General features: G+C 36.9%; 1 long non-coding RNA gene across 1 annotated transcript in view, besides 1 other annotated feature; it reads right to left on the bottom strand.

Annotated features, from left to right (window-relative positions):
* Nucleotides 1-24,289, bottom strand: part of LOC105376755 (uncharacterized) — a 673,333-nt gene that overhangs the window by 345,883 nt on the left and 303,161 nt on the right. The gene's annotated exons all lie outside the window — the stretch shown is intronic.
* Nucleotides 1,185-1,737: an enhancer, noted in NCBI's record as "NANOG-H3K27ac-H3K4me1 hESC enhancer chr2:195937963-195938515 (GRCh37/hg19 assembly coordinates)". NCBI's record gives its function as "activates a minimal SCP1, AML or CMV promoter by ChIP-STARR-seq in naive H9 embryonic stem cells {active_cell/tissue: H9 hESC(naive)}" and the evidence as "EXISTENCE:reporter gene assay evidence [ECO:0000049][PMID:30033119]".

Here is a 24,289-nt window from a genome sequence, read left to right on the forward strand (position 1 = left end):
ATCTGAACGTTGGCCTGCCTTGCTAGATTGGGGAAGTTCTCCTGGATAATATCCTGCACAGTGTTTTCCAATTTGGTTCCATTCTCCCCATCACTTTCAGGTACACCAATCAGACGTAGATTTGGTCTTTTCACATAGTCCCATATTTCTTGGAGGCTTTGCTCATTTCTTTTTATTCTTTTTTCTCTAAACTTCCCTTCTCGCTTCATTTCATTCATTTCATCTTCCATTGCTGATACCCTTTCTTCCAGTTGATCGCATCGGCTCCTGAGACTTCTGCATTCTTCACGTAGTTCTCGAGCCTTGGTTTTCAGCTCCATCAGCTCCTTTAAGCACTTCTCTCTATTGGTTATTCTAGTTATACATTCTTCTAAATTTTTTTCAAAGTTTTCAACTTCTTTGCCTTTGGTTTGAATGTCCTCCCGTAGCTCAGAGTAATTTGATCGTCTGAAGCCTTCTTCTCTCAGCTCGTCAAAGTCATTCTCCATCCAGCTTTGTTCCATTGCTGGTGAGGAAGTGCGTTCCTTTGGAGGAGGAGAGGCACTCTGATTTTTAGAGTTTCCAGTTTTTCTGTTCTGTTTTTTCCCCATCTTTGTGGTTTTATCTACTTTTGGTCTTTGATGATGGTGATGTACAGATGGATTTTTGGTGTGGATGTCCTTTCTGTTTGTTAGTTTTCCTTCTAACAGACAGGACCCTCAGCTGCAGGTCTGTTGGAATACCCTGCCGTGTGAGGTGTCAGTGTGCCCCTGCTGGGGGGTGCCTCCCAGTTAGGCTGCGCGGGGGTCAGGGACTCACTTGAGGAGGCAGTCTGCCCGTTCTCAGATCTCCAGCTGCGTGCTGGGAGAACCACTGCTCTCTTTAAAGCTGTCAGACAGGGACATTTAAGTCTGCAGAGGTTACTGCTGTCTTTTTGTTTGTCTGTGCCCTGCCCGGAGAGGTGGAGCTTACAGAGGCAGGCAGGCCTCCTTGAGCTGTGGTGGGCTCCACCCAGTTCGAGCTTCCCAGCTGCTGTGTTTACCTAAGCAAGCCTGGGCAATGGTGGGCGCCCCTCCCCCAGCCTCGCTGCCGCCTTGCAGTTTGATCTCAGACTGCTGTGCTAGCAATCAGCGAGACTCCGTGGGCGTAGGACCCTCCGAGCCAGGTGTGGGATATAATCTCGTGGTGCGCCGTTTTTTAAGCCGGTCTGAAAAGCGCAATATTCGGGTGGGAGTGACCCGATTTTCCAGGTGCGTCCGTCACCCCTTTCTTTGACTCGGAAAGGGAACTCCCTGACCCCTTGCGCTTCCCAGGTGAGGCAATGCCTTGCCCTGCTTCGGCTCGCACACGGTGGGCGCACCCACTGACCTGCGCCCACTGTCTGGCACTCCCTAGTGAGATGAACCCGGTACCTCAGATGGAAATGCAGAAATCACCCGTCTTCTGCGTCGCTCACGCTGGGAGCTGTAGACCGGAGCTGTTCCTATTTGGCCATCTTGGCTCCTCCCTCCAGGACTCTATACTTCTATATTTGAGTCCTTGTGGACGAACCATAACCTAAATTAATAGGCCGATAAAATTGAAAACCTAACTTAATAGTGTGCACCTGTAAGAAAAGCTGAGTTTTGGCCAATTCCAGCAGCCATACTTCAACCACTCATGGACTGCTGAATGTTCAAACTGCATTCAAATAAGGCTAACGCCGAGCTGTAACCAGTATCGCCGTTTCTGTACCTCACTTCCAATTCCTGTATGTCAATTTACCTTTTTGTCTGTACATTTCTTCTGACCATGATCCACCCCTGTAGTCTCTCTGAATCTTCTGTGATTCTGGAGGCTGCCTGATTCGCGAATTGTTTCTTTTTTTGCTCAATTAAACTCCATCAAAATTAACTCGTCTAAAGTTTTCTTTTAACACTACCTTCTAATATGCTTAATCAAAACTTGGATTTACCTTCATGTGTTCAAGGCATTGTACTGAGTATCTTGTAATGCACGTAATACAAACTCAGGTTGTGCCCATAGTATATGAACATTTATAAAGCAGTTAATAAAATAAATGAGATGTCTAAATATTTCCTCTTAATTTTGATATATTTCTGTTTATTGCTCCTTTATATCCCCACCCACTTCCCTACTTCATTGACTTTCTGCAGAGAATATAAAGGATAGAACTAGTGCTTTTTATTCCATTCAAAAAGCTGCTAGATTCCACCTCTGGGGGCAAGGTATAGCAGAACAAAAGGCAGCAGACAGCTTCTACAGACTTAAACGTCCCTGTCTGACAGCTCTGAAGATGGCAGTGGTCCTCCCAGCACTGTGTTCGATCTCCAAGAATGGCCAGACTGACTCCTCAAGCAGGTCACTGACCCCCGTGTAGCCTGACTGGGAGACAACTCCCAGAAAGGGCCAACAGACACCTCAAACAGGCGGGTGCCCCTCTGAGACAAAGCTTCCAGAGGAAAGATCAGGCAGCAATATTTGCTGTTCTGCAGACTCCCCTGGTGATACCCAGGCAAACAGGGTCTAGAGTGGACTTCCAGCAAACTCCAACAGACCTGCAGCTGAGGGACCTAACTGTTAGAAGAAAAACTAACAAACAGAAAGGAATAGCATCAACATCAACAAAAAAGGGCATCCATACCAAAACCCCATCCATAGGTCATCAACATCAAAGACCAAAGGGAGATAAACCACAAAGATGGGGAGAAACCACAGCAGAAAAGCTGAAAATTCCAAAAGCCAGAGAATCTCTTTTCCTCCAAAGGATCGCAGCTCCTCACCAGCAAGGGAATAAAACTCGATGGAGAATGAGTTTGATGAGTTGACAGAAGTAGGCTTCAGAAGGTCGGAAATAACAAACTTCTCCGAGCTAAAGGGGCATGTTCTAACCCATCGCAAGGAAGCTAAAAGCCTTGAAAAAAAGGTTAAATGAATGGCTAACTAGAATAAACAGTGTAGAGAAGACCTTAAATGACCTGATGGAGCTGAAAACCACAGCACAAGAACTTCGTGTTGCATGCACAAGCTTCAATAGCAGATTCGATCAAGTGGAAGAAAGGATATCAGTGATTGAAGATCAAATTAATGAAATAAAGTGAGAAGATAAGAGAAAAAAGTGAAAAGAAATGAACAAAGCCTCCAAGAAATATGGGACTATGTAAAAAGACCAAATGTACATTTGATTGGTGTACCAGAAAGTGACGGGGAAAAAGGAACCAAGTTGGAAAATACTCTTCAGGATATTATCCAGGAGAACTTCCCCAACCTAGCAAGGCAGGCCAACATTCAAATTCAGGAAATACAGCAAACACCACAAACATACTCCTCAAGAAGGGCAACCCCAAGACACATGACTGTCAGATTCACCAAGGTTGAAATGAAGGAAAAAATGTTAAGGGCAGCCAGAGAGAAAGGTCTGGTTACCCACAAAGGGAAGCCCGTCAGACTAACAGTGGATCTCTCGGCAGAAACCCTACAAGCCAGAAGAGAGTGGGAGCCAATATTCAACATTCTTAAAGAAAAGAATTTTCAACCCAGAATCTCATATCCAGCCAAACTAAGCTTCATAAGTGAAAGAGAAATAAAATCCTTTACAGACAAGCAAATGCTGAGAGATTTTGTCACCACCAGGCCTGCCTTACAAGAGCTCCTGAAGGAAGCACTAAACATGAAAAGGAACAATCAGTACCAGCCACTGCAAAAATATGCCAAATTGTAAAGACCATCAACGCTATGAAGAAACTGCATCAATTAATGGGCAAAATAACCAGCTAACATCATAATGACAGGAACAAATTCAAACATAACAATACTAACCTTAAATGTAAACAGGCTAAATGCCCCAATTAAAAGACACAGACTGGCAAATTTGATAGAGTCAAGACACGTCACTGTGCTGTATTCAGGAGACCAATCTCACATGCACAGATGCACATAGGCTCAAAATAAAGAGATGGAGAAAGATCTACCAAGCAAATGGAAAGCAAAAAATAAGCAGGAGTTGCAATCCTAGTCTCTGATAAAACAGACTTTAAACCAGCAAAGATCAACAGACACTAGAAGGCCATTACATAATGGTAAAGGGATCGATTCAAGAAGAAGAGCTAACTATCGTAAATATATATGCACCCAATACAGGAGCACCCAGATTCATAAAGCAAGTCCTTACAGCCCTACAAAGAGACTTAGACTCCCACACAATAATAATGGGAGACTTTAACACCCCATTGTCAATATTAGACAGATCAATGAGACAGAAGATTAACAAGGATATCCAGAACTTGAACTCACCTCTGCACCAAGCAGACCTAATAGACATCTACAGAACTCTTCTTCTGTATACATTCTTCTCAGCACCGCATGCACTTATTCTAAAACTGACCACACAATTGGAAGTAAAACACTCCTCAGCAAATGTAAAAGAACAGAAATCACAACAAGCTGTCTTTCAGTGCAATCAAATTACAACTCAAGATTAAGAAACTCACTCAAAGCCACACAACTACATGGAAAGTGAACAACCTGCTCTTGAATGACTACTGGGTAAATAACAAATGAAGGCAGAAATAAAGATGTTCTTTGAAACCAATGAGAACAAAGACAGACGTACCAGAATCTCTGGGACACATTTCAAGCAGTGTGTGAGGGAAATTTATAGCACTAAATGCCCACAAGAGAAAGCAGGAAAGACCTAAAATCGACACCCTAACATCACAATTAAAAGAACTAGAGAAGCAAGAGCAAACACATTCAAAAGCTAGCAGAAGGCAAGAAATAACTAAGATCAGAGCAGAACTGAAGGAGATAGAGACACAAAAAATCCTTCAAAAAATCAATGAATCCAGGAGCTCGTTTATTGAAAAGATTGACAAAATAGACCGCTAGCAAGACTGATAAAGAAAAGAGAGAAGAATCAAACAGAAGCAATAAAAAATGATAAAGGAGATATCACCGCCGATCCCACAGAAATGCAAACTACCATCAGAGAATACCATAAACACCTCTATGCAAATAAACTAGAAAATCTAGAGGGAATGGATAAATTCCTGGACACATACAATCCCCGAAGACTAAGCCAGGAAGAAGTTGAATCTCTGAACAGACCAATAACAGGCTCTGAAATTGAGGCAATGGTTAATAGCCTACCAACCAAAAAAAGTCCAGGACCACACGGATTCACAGCCAAATTGTATTGTAGGTACAAAGAGGAGCTGGTACCATTTTCTCTGAAACTCTTCCTATCAATAGAAAAAGAGGGAATCCTCCCTAACTCATTTTATGAGGCCAGTATCATCCTGATACCAAAGTCTGGCAGACACACAACAAAAAAAGAGAACTTTAGGCCAATATCCCTGATGGACATCTATGTGAAAATCCTCAATAAAATACTGGCAAACCGAATCCAGCAGCACATCAAAAAGCCTATCCACCACGACCAAGTCAGCTTCATCCCTGGGATGCAAGGCTGGTTCAACATACACAAATCAATAAATGTAATCCATCACATACAGAACCAACGACAAAAACCACATGATTGTCTCAAAAGATGCAGAAAAGGCCTTCGATAAAATTCAACACCCATTCATGTTAAAAACTCTCAATCAACTAGGTATTGATGGAATATATCTCAAAATAATAAGAGCTATTTATGACAAACCCACAGCCAATATCATACTGAATGGGCAAAAACTGGAAGCATTCCCTTTGAAAACTGGCACAAGACAAAGATGCCCTATCTCAGCACTCCTATTCAACATAGTGTTGGAAGTTCTGGCCAGGGCAATCAGGCAAGAGAAAAAAATAAAGGGTATTCAATTAGGAAAAGAGGAAGTCAAATTGACTCTGTTTGCAGATGACATGATTGTATATTTAGAAAACCCCATCAGCTCAGCCCAAAATCTCCTTAAGCTGATAAGCAAAGTCTCAGGATACAAAATCAATGTGCAAAAATCGCAAGCATTCCTATACACCAATAATAGACAAACAGAGAGTCAAATCATGAGTGAACTCCCATTCACAATTACTACAAAGAGAATAAAATACCTAGGAATCCAACTTACAAGGGATGTGAAGGATCTCTTCAAGGAGAACTACAAACCACTGCTCAATGAAATAAAAGAGTACACAAACAAATGGAAGAACATTCCATGCTCATGGATAGGAAGAATCAATATCTTGAAAATGGCCATACTGCTCAAGGTAATTTATAGATTCAATGCCATCCCCATCAAGCTACCACTGACTTTCTTCACAGAATTGGAAAAAACTACTTTAACGTTCCTATGGAACCAAAAAAGAGCCTGCAAAGCCAAGACAATCCTAGCAAAAAGAATAAACCTGGAGGCATCACACTACCGGACTTCAAACTATACTACAAGGCTACAGTAACCAAAACAGCATGGTACTTGTACCAAAACAGAGATATAGACCAACGGAACAGAATAGAGGCCTCAGAAATAACACCACACATCTACAACCATCTGATCTTCGACAAACCTCACAAAAACAAGCAATGGGGAAAGGATCCCCTATTTAATAAATGGTGCTGGGAAAACTGGCTAGCCATATGTAGAAAGTTGAAACTGGATCCCTTCCTTACACTGTATACAAAAATTAACTCAAGATAGATTAAAGATTTAAATGTAAGACCTAACACCATAAAAACCCTAGAAGAAAACCTAGGACGTAGGCATGGGCAAGGACTTCATGACAAAAACACCAAAAGCAATGGCAACAAAAGACAAAATAGACAAATGGGATCTAATTAAACTAAGGAGCTTCTGCACAGCAAAAGAAACTATCATCAGAGTGAACAGGCAACCTACAGAATGGGAGAAAATTTTGCAATCTACCCATCTGACAAAGGGCTAATATCCAGAATCTACAAAGAACTTAAACAAATTTACAAAAAAAAAAAAAAAAAATCAAAAAGTGGGCAAAGGATATGAACAGACCCTTCTCAAAAGAAGACATTTATACAGCCAACAGACATATGAAAAAATGCTCATCATCACTGGTCATCAGAGAAATGCAAATCAAAACCACAATGAGATACCATCTCATGACAGTTTGAATGGCAATCATTAAAATGTCAGGAAACAACAGATGCTGGCGAGGCTGTGGAGAAATAGGAATGCTTTTACACTGTTGGTGGGTGTGTCAATTAGTTCAACCATTGTGGAAGACAGTGTGGTGATTCCTCAAGGATCTAGAACTAGAAAAACCATTTGACCCAGCAATCCCATTACTGGGTATATATCCAAAGGATTATAAATCATGCTGCTATAAAGACACATGCACATGTATGTTTATTGTGGCACTATTCCCAATAGCAAAACCTTGGAACCAACCCAAATGGATTAAGAAAATGTGGCACATATACACCATGGAATATTATGCAACCATAAATATGAATGAGTTCATGTCCTTTGCAGGGACAGGGATGAAGCTGGAAACCATTATTTTAAGTAAACTATCATAAGGACAGAAAACCAAACACCACATATTCTCACTCATAAGTGGAAGTTGAACAATGAGAACACTTGGACACAGGGTGGGGAACATCACACACAGAGGCCTGTCTGGGGCTGGGGGGCTGGGGGAGGGGTAGCATTAGGAGAAATGCCTAATGTAAATGACGAGTTGATGAGTGCAGCAAAGCAACATGACACATGTATACCTATGTAACAAACCTGAATGTTGTGCACATGTACCCTAGAATTTAAGGTATAATTTAAAAAAAAATGCCATCTTTTTCCCTACTCATCCTAATCACATCAGCCATGACCTGCAAAATCACAATGGAATAATCAATTTTAATCAAATTAAATATTACTTAAAGGAAGCACAAAATTGTAAACTGATAGTAGGAAATTCTATGTTATTCCAACCACCTTATGTAATTCCTAAATTATTACATAAGGCTGATCACCAATGAAAGAATGTCTAGGTACAATGATAATGTACTTTTAAAGTAATGTGACATATTTTCTAATACCTTTTTCCATATGGGGCTACATATATCCTATATCCCTGTATTACTAAATGAGGGAATGGAAGAGAGAGTTTGAGTAAATTCTCCATCTAGTCATTCTAGCATATTATAAGAATAAACACCTTAGAACCCTTTTGCAAAGTTCTATTTTCCTATAAATCTCACTTGCCACCCTTTATTGAAAAGAACATAATATAGTAAAATCTTCTTTGCTTGGATCTGAAAATACTGTTTTTTAAATAGGAAGAGCGTCCATAGAAAAAAATGTTTAAAAAGTCACCTTTTATCTTCAAGAAGAAGGAAAAAGCATATTGTATAAACTCAAAAGTATTTTCACACAGCCCCCAGAATGACTTCCAAAGGAACATAGATCCTTTCTCAAAGTTAGTTTGACAATGAGACAAAGATTTTTCTCTAAAGGTGTAAATAGTCAAACCACTACTTGAAGGAGCTATTTTTCCTAGAATAAAATTGTTAAGATCTCATCCACTTTAAGTGTGAAATCTTTGTCAACTCTTTGGAATTAGTTTTATAGCTCACAGCAAAGCTTTTAGCAGGTACAATTTGAAAAAGAAGTGAAAATTTTAAAAAATGAAACTGTAGAGGTTCTTTATATAAAACCATGGGGAACAAGAAGATCCCAAGGAAAAGGAAAAAGAAAAAAAAGCAATTGCAAAAACATGTGAATAGTAACAAATAAATAATCTTGGAGTATTCAAAAAAACAGATTTTCTATTTTGACACTAACACTAAATTACAAAACATTTCCTATTTGTTAAGGAAATTCAAGTAAAGCCTTATTCAAGTTGCTGTATAGAATAAGGGACAAGAGGAGAGGTAATTGAGGTTGGGGCAAAGTTCAATTGTCAATGGAGCTGTATACAATTTTGTTTTTCATTTACCGTGTTACAAAATCTGCTGTTCTTTGGGAATTGAAATTTTCACACTACATTACATTTTAAAACAACATCTTCTCCCTGGGTTTTCTGGATTGATGTGCTTGAGGAAGGTAAGGAGAACCCAACTATGTTAAACAAATACGTTTCATGTATTTCTCTTATCTGAGTAGGGGAACAAATAAAGTGACACAGCTAGCACCAAAGAGATAACTAAACATTTAGTCACCAGTTTGTAGCTCAACACTTTCGATTAAATGGATTATTATTGAGGCAAAGCAGCTAGCATCTTGTTAAACCAGCGTTAAGGGAGTTCCCATTCCACAAAATGTTCTGGGACATTGTGTCCCGTAGAAGAAAACAACCATGAATTTGGTAGACTTAGCTGCTTTTTGAATTTTTCAGTTAACTGGTTAATGCATATTTAGTCTCTCCTCTTAAGCATTTTCCTGGAAGTTACTTAATCTTCCCAATATTTTTGTAAAATTAGGGCAGGGTATTTTCATCTGCCCAGTTGCCTAGGTGTGCCATACTTCAGATGGGTTAGCACGGGACTCAGTTGGTATTGGTTATCACTAAAAGATAAAATATCAAAAATCATCAAAGCATCCATGATTTATAATGGGTTAAATCATAGTTTTAAGAAAAATGACAAAGGAGAAAACCATAAATATATATTGGAATTAAATAGTCTGGCCAGAAAATATAATCTCTAAAATATTAGATGAAAGCAGTATTCTATAATCTTCTTAAAGATGCCTTTAGGTTTAATTCATCTTTATGTCCCTCATAGTATCTAATGTGATAAATAACTTACATGCGGAAGACAATAAATACATGTCAAATTAATGGATGAAAGAGTTAAAGAATCGCAGTATGTTTTTAATACTCATAGGCAACAATGGTGATACCTTCTTTGATAGAAAAAATTAAAAATTATAATGAAAACAGTTGGAGAGTAAAATTCAGTAAGTGAAAAAATTACAATTTTAATTGAAAAGTGCAAAAGCTAAATATTATATTTACTGCACTCTTTATATAAAGTTCCTTGTTATTTTCAAAGCACAAATACACACAAACAAACAAGTAGCATTCAGGGAAAAAAATTTATGCAGTTGTTTTATTGACTTGTGTGTCCTGAATGTTCTTGAAAAGTGCACATACACATACACACATACATAATTTAAAGCCTATAGATCACAAATGTCATAAAGGTCACCACAGATTAAAGATGCAGCCAGAATCTGCAACTCCTTTGCTGCCATCTCATAAAGAAAAATAGTGTTTTAAAGTTTTCTTAATGAAGTTACATTTATCATTTTCCTGTTCACTTCTTTCTGTTCTCAGTATAATCCTGTCAGCTCTAGAGTTGACATCAATGAACTTGAATTTTTCTTAAGTCAGACTCCCAACTAAGTGAGATGAATGAAATCAATATTCTTCTTTTACAGGTGAAATGAGTTTGGTAACATATGTAGTACTGTACCTTCCTCCTCTTTTTTCTTCTTTGTACTGCAATCCATCAAGGTATAGCTCTTGGCACCTGAATGAACACATCTTAATACAAAATTTCAAGCAACAATTCTTTCTAAATGTAATAACATATTTCAGTCTTTGTTCTTAAAATCCCTACCTAGATCTATGTTCTTTCCTTCTCCATGATAATTTATTTCTATTATTTTTACAGCATTCTTAGTATTCACAAGCGATTAGTCAGGTCCTTGAATTCATGAAATATCTGATCTCTACATACAAAAGCCTAAATGCTATTCAATTCTGAGGACTACCTCTGAAAAAACAGGACTTTCATAAAGGGAATTTCATATTCAAGGACACCATGCTTCATGGTTTTACTTTGTAACACAAAGCACCTATTTGCCGTTATTCATGAAGCTTCTTCTATTAATTCAAGAATTCTCTCTGCAATAGATCTTATAGGTAAAAAGTAACCTTATCAGATTGCTTGGTGATGCATTTGTGAATTACAAAATGTCATGTGATTTTTTTAAGTTTTTCAATCCCATAAATCATGATTATTAGCCTATTCTAAGTACACATCCCGATTACATAATATGTTACAACATATGATGATTTAAGCAGGTGATAAAAATAATTCAATAAGGAAAATATTAATTTATGCTAAGAGGTTGCAAAGTTGTTTTTATTTTCATATATTCATATTTTTCACATTTTGAACACTGGTAAGAAAGAATTATATTGTTCAGTTTTTATCACAAGAAAACTCTAGAGGGGTGATTAGAAATTTATTATACAAACTAATAGAAGTATTTGGACTAAGGACTCAGAAATATTCTGTATGTTGGACTAGTAAATTTGGGGAAACTTAAGAAAATCAAACTGGATAAGGAGAAAGAGGCTACAGAGTTGCTAAATCATGTTACCATACAGATAGGATGAGCAAGGAACACAGAGGAGTTTCCACCAAATGAAGAGAACCTGGTTGACACACAACTTGACACCATTAATGTTACAATTGATCCTCCTTTCAACCCCATTCCCACCACAACCTTATAATAATTCCACTGTATGTGAAAATCAATGAGCAAATGGAAGTAAAGAGTAACTAGCAAGTGTTTGATGAAATCCGTGATCTAATGGGCTTGGAGGAATGGCTGGGGAGTAGCTGAGAGGGATTTGTTCAGTGGACAAAAATGTAATCAAAATGAGGAAGATCTGTGTAAATACAAAGGATTTTCTCAAGCCCGATAATCTAGGGAATACTTGCATATCTCAGATCTCTGGTATCTCTCAATGTAGCCAATGTAGATGAATCTTTGTGTACACATGTTGCCTCACCTGTTGTCCATTATTGACTGGGGAGGAAAGGACTGCCAGATGACAGAGATCTTTCTTCAGGTTTGGTGGTTCCTGTAAACAGACCTATTAAGCTGAGGGCTGCAATTGCCTGTTGTGTGGATTATTCTCCCTTGCACTAGCTGCCACCTGTAAAAGTTGAATGCACCCAGGAGATAGGATGGTATAGCAGAAAAACAATAATGAGACTAAAGGAACTTATTCCTCAAACCCTAGTGAAAGGTACCACAAAATAATCAATGGCAATAAAACAGACATTAAAGCAAACAAAAAAGCTTATCAGTACTTCTTCTCATCAGGAAGAAAAAGCATAGCTTTTGTACCATAAACTTTTAAAGTTGTAACCCAGAGAGAAGAGATAGAAGACTCAAGGAATTAATTCTATGCAAATAAATTTTAAAATGTGGTATAAATGGATTACTTTTTGAAAAGAAATAAAACACAAACATTGGCACCTGCTTCTAAATAATGTTTCAGACTGCTTGCTAGCTACAAGAGCAGCAGGAAGTTGGTTTCTCTCTCCTCTATTCTGCCATCTAAATCTCTTACAGTTATATCAATTTTCCAAAAAAATAATTTAAATCCAGAAGCCTAAATACAAGGGAGACTGGTAACATAATTTTAGGTTTTCCAATCTCTTAATCTCAAAGAAAAGTGGAAGCCAATCAATGTGGCTCCAGAGCCCAAGCTCTACTGCCCCCGAAGCTTGGGAGCTGCTATTAACATTAAAAGAAAACAGGGCTTTTTTTTACTTTTCACCTTTAACCACATAAATATGGTTCCAATTATCTAAATCAAAATGAGATATTTTACCAACTATATTAATTGTCAAATATATAAAAATTAGGGAACATGATATACAAAATGTAATTAATATTCATTTTATGTAATATATTAATAAACATGCAGTAAATATTTTACATCATTAATTATTTGATATCATTTTGTTTTGTGGAGCAGTGATCAGAAAGACACCTACACCTACAGATTCTCCCAGGAAACAACAATATCTTCACCCCATCCCCCACTAGATATAATAATTTTTTCAATAATTGCTTGCATCTTGTAAGATAGCAGACACACAGCCAGATTTCTGCAACAGTCAAATGGCTGAGGTTGCATAATGGGGTGCAAGGAGAATTTAGCTGGGGAATCCACACTCTATCAATTATCATCTTACCAATCATTGCCATGGGAACTTGGGGGTACCTGAGAACTCATAGTTCTATCCAATATTATCTCTCATTTCTTGCTTTAAACAACTTCTTAAGTTCTGTATCTTTTTCAATAAATTTCAAAATCACTTCACAATCTCTTACTATGATTACTGGCATTTTATTAATTACATTTCTGGGGGAACAATGATTCAATCTGCAAACCAATAAATGAGATCCCTCAGTCAGTAAAAAGGCCTTATTTAAGAAATAGAATGTAACTGTGTTGATTTTAATACAGTTTTCAAGGTATTTAAGAACAATACTTTCAAACTAATGACATTATTATCAATAAAATCCTACTTTTATTAAAGGAGTAGAGATAAAGATGAATGAATTAATTTGACAAACTTTTTCTAATCATCTAAAATATTTTACAATATTTAACTTCTCAGTCTAACTTTATTCTCTTTTTTCCCTCCTATTTTCTAGCCCAACTTGCCAATAGTTATAACTTGATTCCAATTCTTGCTCTCCTTTTTTTCCTGCTACAGCCCAAATATAACAAGGGCATGTGTGGGTTGGATCTCGTTATGCAAGGATCTCATAGCAGTTGTTAAATGCAGCCTATCTCTCTTTGAGGGACTTAATTATTCAACAGTTATTTCTACTGATTATGAACCTGAAGATACCGACAGATTGGTTGGCAAGGCGGCGGAAGTGGGGGAACATTAGTTATCTGAAATAAGCCTCCTAGCATTCTCTAGGATCAAAATGGAACCTAAATTTTCTCCCACTGCTGACTTCATCCTATTGCTGCATGACATTAATGTCTCTGCTTGGCTGACTGCCCTTTTCTCTTCCAAAGAATCCTTCTAACATTTGAACAACAGATTAAATATTTTTGCTACTGCCAGCCAAATATAACTGCACCAACTTATGGTTACTCAACCTGAAGGTCTCCTCTACCCTGGGTAGGAAGCTGGGTGCCACATAGGAGCCATAAATAAAAGGAACATATAGAATACTGTAGGTACAGAATAGGAGGCACATAGTTTCTTTTTGCCTATTGTTTCTCCAAATGCCAAAATAATAGATTGGAAAATAAGGAGCTTACTAGATACTAGAAAATCACAATAGTATCCTCCAAATTTGCATAAAGAAAGAAAGCACAGACTCAATCCTTGTGTAGTCTTGATTCTTTCTCCCAAATGAGATATACATAGACAGAAATTTATAGTATTTTAGGAAGATTAATTGCATTGTATTATGAGCCATTTATCGTGCAGCATTCACTGACCTTAATATTATCAGATATTTACTAAGAATATGGAACGTTCTTCCTTAAGAACAGACTGCACATACACATACAAATAAATAACCAACCATATGTCAGTAATGCCCAAATCATAAACTGCCCACACATTTTATAATAGCTTTCACAACTGTGTATCTAACCTGTTAAAAGTTGACATGGTGCATTAGACAACATAAATTCTAATAAATCCTTTCTACTTTAGGCTACCCTTCTTTTCTTACTGTTTCACACCAAACAATTTTCCCTAAAAGAGTACTTGCTGTATCATTTCCCTAAACACCTACTCACTGCTCAGCCTACACCAATTTGTTTTCAGACCCCCATTACTTTATCATTGACCTCTTTCACTCCATCAGTGAATTTTATGATTTGACTTTTCAGCAGGATTTAATATTGTTCATCCATTCTACATTCCTAAATATTATTTTTTGTCTGTGTCCATGTCACTTCACTCTTTTTTTTCTTTCATCTCTATTTTTTTCCCAGTCCCCATCACCCTCTGCTACCTGAACTCTAAATCCCAGATTAGACCTGAAGTTCTTATTCTTCTAAGCAGCCTCATCTACTGCCTTCATTCAACTTTAATTATCTTCTAAAATACCATAACGAACAAACAAATATCCCCTACACTGACTCTCCTCTCAACACCTGGCCTATATACTCTATTGCCTACTTCACATTTTTGCTTCAGTGTCTCAAAGTCTCAGCAGGTCTGTAGCAGATGTCTGGTGTTTGGATGTGTCTCTTTAAATTTTCTGAGTTGATTGTAACCTGTGGACAGTGGTACACACTAACAACCTCCTGTGGCTCTGTGCCTGAGGAAATAGAAAGTTAACCTTCACAGAGAGCCTTTTTTCTCACCCAAGAGATTAATCAGCAACTTTAATTGTTTTCTTCAAATCATGAAAGTAACTAGTCTTGGGTCATTCTCTTGATCTTTATTATTTTATTTTATTTTTTTTTGAAATGGAGTTTTGCTCTTGTTGCCCAGTCTGGAGTGCAATGGCGTGGTCTCGGCTCACCGCAACCTCCACCTCCCGGGTTCAAGTGATTCTCCTGCCTCAGCCTCCCAAGTACCTGGATTACAGGCATGCACCACCTGCTAATTTTTTTTTTTTTTTTTTAAGTAGAGACGGGGTTTCTCCATGTTGGTCAGGCTGGTCTCGAACTCCCAACCTCAGGTGATCCACCCACACGCCTTAGCCTCCCAAAGCATTGGGAGTACAGGCATGAGCCACCACGCCTGGCTAATCTTTTCTTTCAATTCTATGTACGTTGCTAGGCAAGATTATAAGTTTAAAAACTTCTTGATATTTTGATCTATACCTTCTCCTTTCAACCATGATTCTTGTCTATTCTGCTCATTCCCAAAAATCGCTATGGCTTTCACTTCCATCTTGCCCTTAGAAAAAAGTTCTTAACTTCATGATAATGTTCACTACTAAAATTTTCACCAAATATTTAATCAAAATTAAAAGTTCCATCATACATAATATGACTACAAAGGATACTATGGTGTAGTGACCTCAAAACATTTTGACTGTAACTATCAACAAGTTTGTTTGAGACTGTTTCCCATACATATATATGGGAAAGAATTATATATATACACACAGTTGTTGGTTAATTATATCCAAGCATTAAAATATTGTATTCTAAATGGCCATACTGCCCAAGTTAATTTATAGATTCAAAGCCATCCCCATAAAGCTACCAATGACTTTCTTCACAGAATTGGAAAAAACTACTTTAAAGTTCATATGGAACCAAAAAAGAGCCCGCATTGCCAAGACAATCTAAAGCAAAAAGAATAAAGCTGGAGGCATCATGCTACCTGACTTTAAACTATACTACAAGGCTACAGTAACCAAAACAGCATGGTACTGGTACCAAAACAGAGATGTAGACCAATGGAACAGAACAGAGCCCTCAGAAATACCACCACACATCTACAACCATCTGATCTTTGGCAAACCTGACACAAACAAGAAATGGGGAAATGATTCCCTATTTAATAAATGGTGCTGGGAAAACTGGCTAGCCATAATGTAGAAAGCTGAAACTGCATGCCTTCCTTACATCTTATACAAAAATTAATTCAAGATGGATTAAAGATTTAAATGTTAGACCTAAAACCATAAAAACCCTAGAAGAAAACCTAGGCAATACCATTCAGGACATAGGCATGGGAAAGGACTTCATGACTAAAACACCAAAAGCAATGGCAACAAAAGCCAAAATTGACAAATGGGATCTAATTAAACTAAAGAGCTTCTGCACAGCAAAAGAAACTACCATCAGAGTGAACAGGCAACCTACAGAATGGGAGAAAATTTTTGTAATCTACCCATCTGACAAAGGGCTAATATCCAGAATCTAGAAAGAACTTAAACAAATTTACAAGAAAAATCAAACAACCCCATCAAAAAGTGATCAAAGGATATGAACAGACCCTTCTCAAAAGAAGACATTTATGCAGCCAACAGATACGTGAAAAAATGCTCATCATCACTGGCCATCAGAGAAATGCAAATCAAAACCACAATGAGATATCATCTCACACCAGTTAGAATGGCAATCATTAAAAAGTCAGGAAACAACAGGTGCTGGAGAGGATGTGGAGAAATAGGAACACTTTTACAATGTTGGTGGGACTGTAAACTAGTTCAACCATTGTGGAAGTCAGTGTGGCGATTCCTCAAGGATCTAGAACTAGAAATACCATTTGACCCAGCAATCCCATTACTGGGTATATACCCAAAGGATTATAAATCATGCTACTATAAAGACACATGCACATGTATATTTATTGAGGCACTATTCACAATAGCAAAGACTTGGAACCAACCCAAATGTCCAACAACGATAGACTGGATTAAGAAAATGTGGCACATACACACCATAGAATACTATGCAGCCATAAAAAGGATGAGTTGACGTCCTTTGTAGGGACATGGATGAAGCTGGAAACCATCATTCCGAGCAAACTATCGCAAGGACAGAAAACCAAACACCACATGTTCTCACTCATAGGTGGGAAATGAACAATGAGAACACTTGGACACAGGGCGGGGAACATCACACACTAGGGCCTGTCGTGGGGTGGGGGAAGGGGGGAGGGATAGCATTAAGAGAAATACCTAATGTAAATGACAAGTTAATGGGTGCAGCACACCAACATGGCACATGTATACATATGTAACGAACCTGCACATTGTGCACATGTACCCTAGAACTTAAAGTATAATAATAAATAATAAAAAATACATATTCAGTAGGTAAAAATACAAAAAATTACACATTTTTAAAAATAAAAGATGAAATAAAAATATTTTAAAATAGGGCTCATTCTCTTTTAAAATTGCATAACAATACAAAACAACTTTTGCTCTCATTAGAATATTTTTATTTCCAGTTCTCACAGAAAACAATGTTATTGAGTCTTAAATTATTTTTGAAAATTTTATTTTAACATTTAGTTATAGAGTAATATAACCATCCACTTTATCTACAACAAATGGCCTCATAAAAACAGTCAACTCATATGTGATCCAGTTATCACTATACCCATGAGAGGATAGTGAGCAAGTTCTCAGAATTTCAGTTTATTGACAGAGCCTGCTCAGAAAACAAAATTTGAGTGCGGAGAGAGAAGTTATGGGTTGATAAGAAAACTTCCATCCTGAATTTGAGGACTGACAGGAGTGGTACAGAGCCAGAGATATGTAGTCAGAGAAGAGGCTTGCTATGTTACAGATGAGAGATGGCAAGAGCAGAAATCCAAAAGAAAAAAGAAAAAAAAAACTTAGCTTTTGAGAAAAGAAAATAGTGACAGAATTTTAGAAGAGATGGGATTGAGTTAAAAAGAGGTTTTCCTTATGGGTTGGCAAAACGGTAGTAGTGCCGACCATGACACTAAAGTGTAGATAAAAAGGATGATAGAGAACATATATTTATTATCATTGACAAAGAAAGGTAACCTATGCTATGAATTAATTGAAGATATATATTGCCACCTAAATAAGGTAAAAACATCATTAACAATAGTATTAAAACTTACATTCCATATAAAGAAACAAACGCAATTTATTTGGTCTAGTCAGATATGACTAAGGCTTATCATAAACTAACTCATTCAAAAGTACGTATTAAGCATCTTTCAAGCCCTTTGCTAGGAACTAGGGACACAACGAGTAATAAGATCATTCCTGCTCACATAAAAGAAGTTGAGGAGACTGGAAGTAAATGTGTGATTACAGAGGAGTGAGATGAGTGCTAAAATAAATAAACATAGCATGTTGTTAGAACACAACACAAGGACCAAACCCATGTTGGAGATGTTAGAAAGGTCAGACTGAAAACTCAGTGTATTAATCTGTTTTTATGCTGCTGATAAAGACCTAATACCCGAGACTGGGTAATTTATAAAGAAAAAGAGATTTAATGGACTCACAGTCCCAAGTGGCTGGGGAGGCCTCACAATCACAGTGGAAGGTGAAAGGCATGTCTTACACAATGGCAGACGAAAGGAAAATGAGAGCCATTATAAAATAATAGGAATTGTTTTATAAAATTGCTGCATGAAATAGGTAAACAGAATGGCTAATGAAATAGAAAATAACTTCTAATAGCACAGTCAATGCCAGAGACCATGAATTTCTTGTAATGAAAATTGCATTATTGTGTCATTTTTTAGCAGTCATTAGAAGGTCATAAGTAGGACTAGAAAAGAAAATTTTTTCCGAGGAGATAGAAGAAGAATAAAAGGGAGCAAGTATTTTGTTGGTATTGGCAAGAGAATTATTAAGGATATGGACCATAGGTCTATGCTGAAGAAGGGAGAAAGTGAGAAGGGTTCTGATAGCCAGGAGACAGTAGGGGAACCAACATCTCAAAAGGTTTGAGTAGGTTTTTGTAGTAGAAATAATAAATGATAATACATTTGCTGACCACTTAGTATATTCCAGTGGCTCTGCACTTACTCATAGCTAGTTCTGCTAGTCGTGAGTCTAAACTGACCAAAGGGGAAAAGTCACCTGCAACCTTCCAAAATGAACACATAAAATAATACATGCTGAATATCATGCATAGATGCAGTTGTATGTCATATGTTCTAGCTAAGTAACTCATGTTTTTCTCTCCTGGATCAGAAGAGAGATAGTATAGGACACTAAAGTGAGCTTTAATATTTAATCTAAAAAAGATAGGAATGTGTATTTCTTTATATTAGATGCAATCAAAAGTTTAAAGAACCTGAAGCAAATGTGTAGTAGGCTTATAACTGGACTACGTACCTTAACTACTACTTAGAAAACTAAAGCCTAATTTAATTAAGTAAGCTACTAAGGATCTGTTTAAAAAATTCAAAATTTAAATCCAAACCCAGGTCTGACTAATTTAAAAGTTTGCATTCTTAAGCGTGACACACTCTCCTTCTGTGTGAGAGAGTTGAAAGTATAGATATTTGTAGATATAGAGTATTTTATGACAGGAACTTAGAAGTGACATAATTATGGATAAGGAAAATTTCCAAGGTAGATCTTAGGAGTGCATAGCTGAAGTGGAGTTAAGGGACAGTTAACTGACATGCCTATAGTGCCTTAAGCATTGGATATTGATCTTATGTTAGAGGATGGCAGAAGACGGTTCAGAGGGAAAAACTGTAGATAAATACCAAAGTCTTTAATGAGTGACCAAGAATGATCAAGAGGTCAGAAGATGTTATTAAAGCAATGAGATGTGTAGTTAACATATATATATATACACACACACACACACATATGTATATATACACACACACGCACACATATATATATATATATGGCTCCAAGAAAATTAAATGACAGAAGCTGGATTTGGAGAGTGGTGAGGATGCCTACCCTGCTCCCAATATTGAGTATTCTGGCTTGTAAGATAATGAATAACATTAATTAAAAGACCTACGAGGCAGTTTCTTTGAAACTATCTAAGATTCAGAGAAAACGGTGAGATTTAGAGAAGGATTTAAGAATTTTGTACCACAGAATAAGAATTTCAAAAGGCAAAAGAAAGAGTTTTAGGAAAATAGAACTATGGAAGTTGGTTCAGGAGAAAAGAAAGTGGTTGCAGTACAGAATATTGATTACTGAAAAAGCTAGAGTTTGGTGTAATAACTAAAGACAACAGGTATCTGAGGCATAAAAGGTTGTTGACCCCAGCAAACTTTCCCCAAACAAAAGACCCAACAGTTTCCTGGAGCATGGGCAGGACTTGTTCTTTTTGGGAGGAATCAGTCATCATAGATTAACTTCCAAGACAATCCAGCAGATGTCAGCAAGCACAGAATAGGATGTGTCCCCAGGGGTCCCACAGTCCTAGAACCCCTAGTAATCTGTTGGAGCAGAACTGACTCAAAATTACAAAAAAAAAAAAAAAAAAGAAAAAAAAAGCTACTTTCAAGATTTTCTCACTAATATCAAAGACCTAAAAAGTTGCTTCTTCAAAATTTTTAGAGCTCTAATTTTAAAATTGTTTTTTAAAATTATAATTTATCTACAAAAACAGTTACCTTTAAGAAAAAATGGGTTATATTTAAATATTAGAATTTTGTTAGGGCACACCTACAAGCTGCACATTAATGAACTTAAAAATTACTCATTTTTTTCTAGTTTTAAATCAAGTTTGAATAATTTCAAGGTCAGTAAATTATATTTATCTGTCGTAGAAGAGTCAAAAATGCTCTCAGTATTACATTAAATAATATAATCTTAAATTACTATCACCAGAAAAGTATTTAACTCATACTATCAAGTAAAATTAATATGCATCACCAAATGCATTTTCATTAACTCTCTAGCTCCCTGGAGGGACACAAGGATCATCTCCATACTATTCTAGAAGTCACACAGTGGGTGTCATTTTAAATTAAGGATAATATGCATTTATGTACTACTAAGAAAGTGTAAAAAATACTGATGAAAAGTAATTATATTCTAAATGCATTTGAATTAACCCTCTATTTTTAACAAGGAACAAAAATGCAAAAATCTTATTTTATGCTTGATTGAGCACAGTTTTACACCCTGCCGTTTTGAAACTGATCTTACTTCATCCCAAATAAGTAGATTCTCTGCAGAGGGATAAATGCCTTTTATTTTTTTGAAAGGAGAACAGAGACACCTACCATAAACAAGTCCCAAACCTAGTGTTAACTGACAGGATCCAGGCCACTGTGGCTGTGAAAATGGTTATCCTACACTATTCTTTCACCTCTTCCTACATATATGGCCACCTAGAGTTAAGACTATAATTCTCAGCAGGTGTGCCTCTATATGATTAAGTTCTCCCAATGGAATGTGAAGAGAAATGATATAAGCAACTTACAGATATGTTCTTAAAGGAAGGAAAAGGTGACTCTTTCCTCCTCCTTCCACTAACTTGCTGCTTTAAACTTGGATATGATAGGGAGCCATGTTGGAACATGCAGACAAGCATAACATTCCAAGGATAGAAGAGCAACAACCAGAAGGAGCCTAAGTCCCTGGACCTCGTGGAGCAGATCTGCAATACCAGGACCTTCTGCTTATAAAGTGTTATGTGAGAATAAAACAAATTTTCCTATTGCAGATGAAACTATGTCCTAACCAAAATTGCTACCATATTCTCTAAATTCACTGTTGTATGACATTGGTGACTTATGTGCTTGGCATGAATGGTAACTTCAGAAGCAAAGCCATTTCTTTTTTTTTGTAGTTCTAGATGGTATAAAACATCCCTCTGACTTACTAAGGGAGAAGTAGTGTATAAAATACCCATTACCTCTATACAGAACAACTCTAGAATAAAGCAAATCCAAATAAATGACCCAGTCCCTAAATTTGGAAGAATGTTATATAATTTTCATCTTCACAATAAACACATTTTTGGTATGAGCAAATTCTTTCAGGCATCAAAAACTATCATCTATCAAATCAGGTAGTATGTCAGAGATTGTTAATATTCAATAAATAGGAGGATTCTTCCAAAATGGTGGTGTAAAAGCAATCTGGCTTCCCTCCCCCACCCCTATATAATTAAAAACAAATATAGAGCACTGAGATTATCACCTGCAATATTCCAGAATTCAAACATGAGGATGAGAGAGTTCCCAAGGCCACAAAGAAGTGAAAATACTTAGAGCATACGATAAGATAATTGGACTTTCATATTTACAATGTACTTCCTCTGAACCTTTTTGGCACCAAGTACATAAAAAATTCCCCCATGACTCATGGTTTCTGCACTGGAAAAAATGAGATTTCGGTGAACAACCAGCCTCCTTGGGTTCCCTGCTTCAACCTAAAGGAAGCATCATGAGTGCCTAAAGGGAGAAATATCCCTGAGGACATCCAGAGACAAAAGGGGGAAGTGAGACTACTATCCCCAGCCCTGGAAACTCTGTTCTGTAACTCAGCCAAAGAGGGTGCCAAATCAGAGTGGCTGTTCAGAAGGGTCATGCTGTAAGGGGTACATTCCATAGGTCCCTTGGGCAGAAATACCTTGGCATCCTTCCTACACTGTTGGAAGGACCTTTAGGACCTCCCCCATTTGAGATGGGCAGCACTCTGATAATTTACTAGAGCCATAGCAAACCTAAGCTTAAAGCATCATCTAGTGTCAAAAAGGAGGGAGAGATCTAGCTGGGGTGAGGGGGAGGAACACAGAAATTCAACAGATAGGTAATAAAGTTTCTCTATGCGAAACATCCAATAAAAAACAAAACATAGCAGACAGAGAAGACTAAAATAGGTAACTAATTCTTTGATGCAAAGACACAGATGTACATTCACGAAAAATAACAGCAGAGAATGGACAAAACAAGGAAGCAGTGACTGACCCCAATGAGATGGTAATGTGTGAGCTATCTGATCAAGAATTCAAAATAGCAGTTTCAAGGAAACTCAGTGATTTCCAAGACAACACAAAAAAGTAATTTAGAAATTTATTAGAGAAATTTAACAAAGAGATTGAAATAATTTTTGAAAATCAAAGAGAAATCTTGGAACTGAGAAATACATTTGCTGCACTTCTTTAGAGAGTCTCAGCTGCAGAATGGATCAAGCAGAGGAAAGAATCAGTGAGATCAAAGACAGGCTATTGGAAAATACACAGGAGAAAAAAATAATGAAAAGAAAAATCACCTACAAGACATAGAAAATTACTACCTCAGAAAGCCAATTCTAAGAATTACTGGTCTTCCAGAAGCAGTTGAGCAAGAACAAGGGGTAGAAAGCTTATTCAAAAAATAATAATAGAACGCTTTCTAAAACTTAGGAAACAGATAAATATCCAGGTACAGGAAGATCAGAGAATACCAAATGGATTCTAGCCAAATAAGACTACCACAAGGTATATAATAAACTCTCAAAGTTCAAGAAACAAGAAAGGATCCTGAAAGCAGCAAGAGAAAAGAAGCAAATAACATACAAAGGAGCTCCAATTCATCTGGCAACAGACATCTCAATGAAAACCATACAGGCCAAGAGGGAATAATAATGACATTTTCAAAAAGTGCTGAAAGAAGAAAAAAAGTGCCATATAAAAATACTGTGCCCAGCAAAGCTATCCCTCCAACAAAAGCTGAGAAAATTCACCACCATGAGACCCATCTTAAAAGGAAGTTCTTAAGTATGAAAGAAAAAAAAGCCCACCAATGTGCAAAAACAAAATAAAACTAGTTGGAAGTCTAAAACTCACTGGTAAAACTAATCATAGACAAACCGAGGATACTCGAATACTGTAATTTTGGTGTTCAACCCACTATTATAAAGCCTAAAAAAAAACTATCTAAAACAATCATAGCTAATGCAACCTATTAAAAGGTAAACAATATAAAGATGCACACATTGAGAAAACAAAAACCTAAAATGGTAGGGAGGATAGAGTTAACATGTAAAGATGGTTTTGGTTCTATTTTTAGTTTTTTCTTTGTTTGTGTCAAATCTTTCCTTTGTGATCTAAAATAAGTTTTTATGTATTTAAAAGAACTTGTTATATCTATACAATGTTTTTGTAAGCCTCATGGTAACTGCTATGCAAAAACCTAAAACAGATACATTAAAAGCAACAAATTAAAAATACTACCAGAGAAAAT

This window comes from Homo sapiens, chromosome 2 (genome assembly GCF_000001405.40).
Source record: "Homo sapiens chromosome 2, GRCh38.p14 Primary Assembly".
Taxonomy (NCBI): domain Eukaryota; kingdom Metazoa; phylum Chordata; class Mammalia; order Primates; family Hominidae; genus Homo; species Homo sapiens.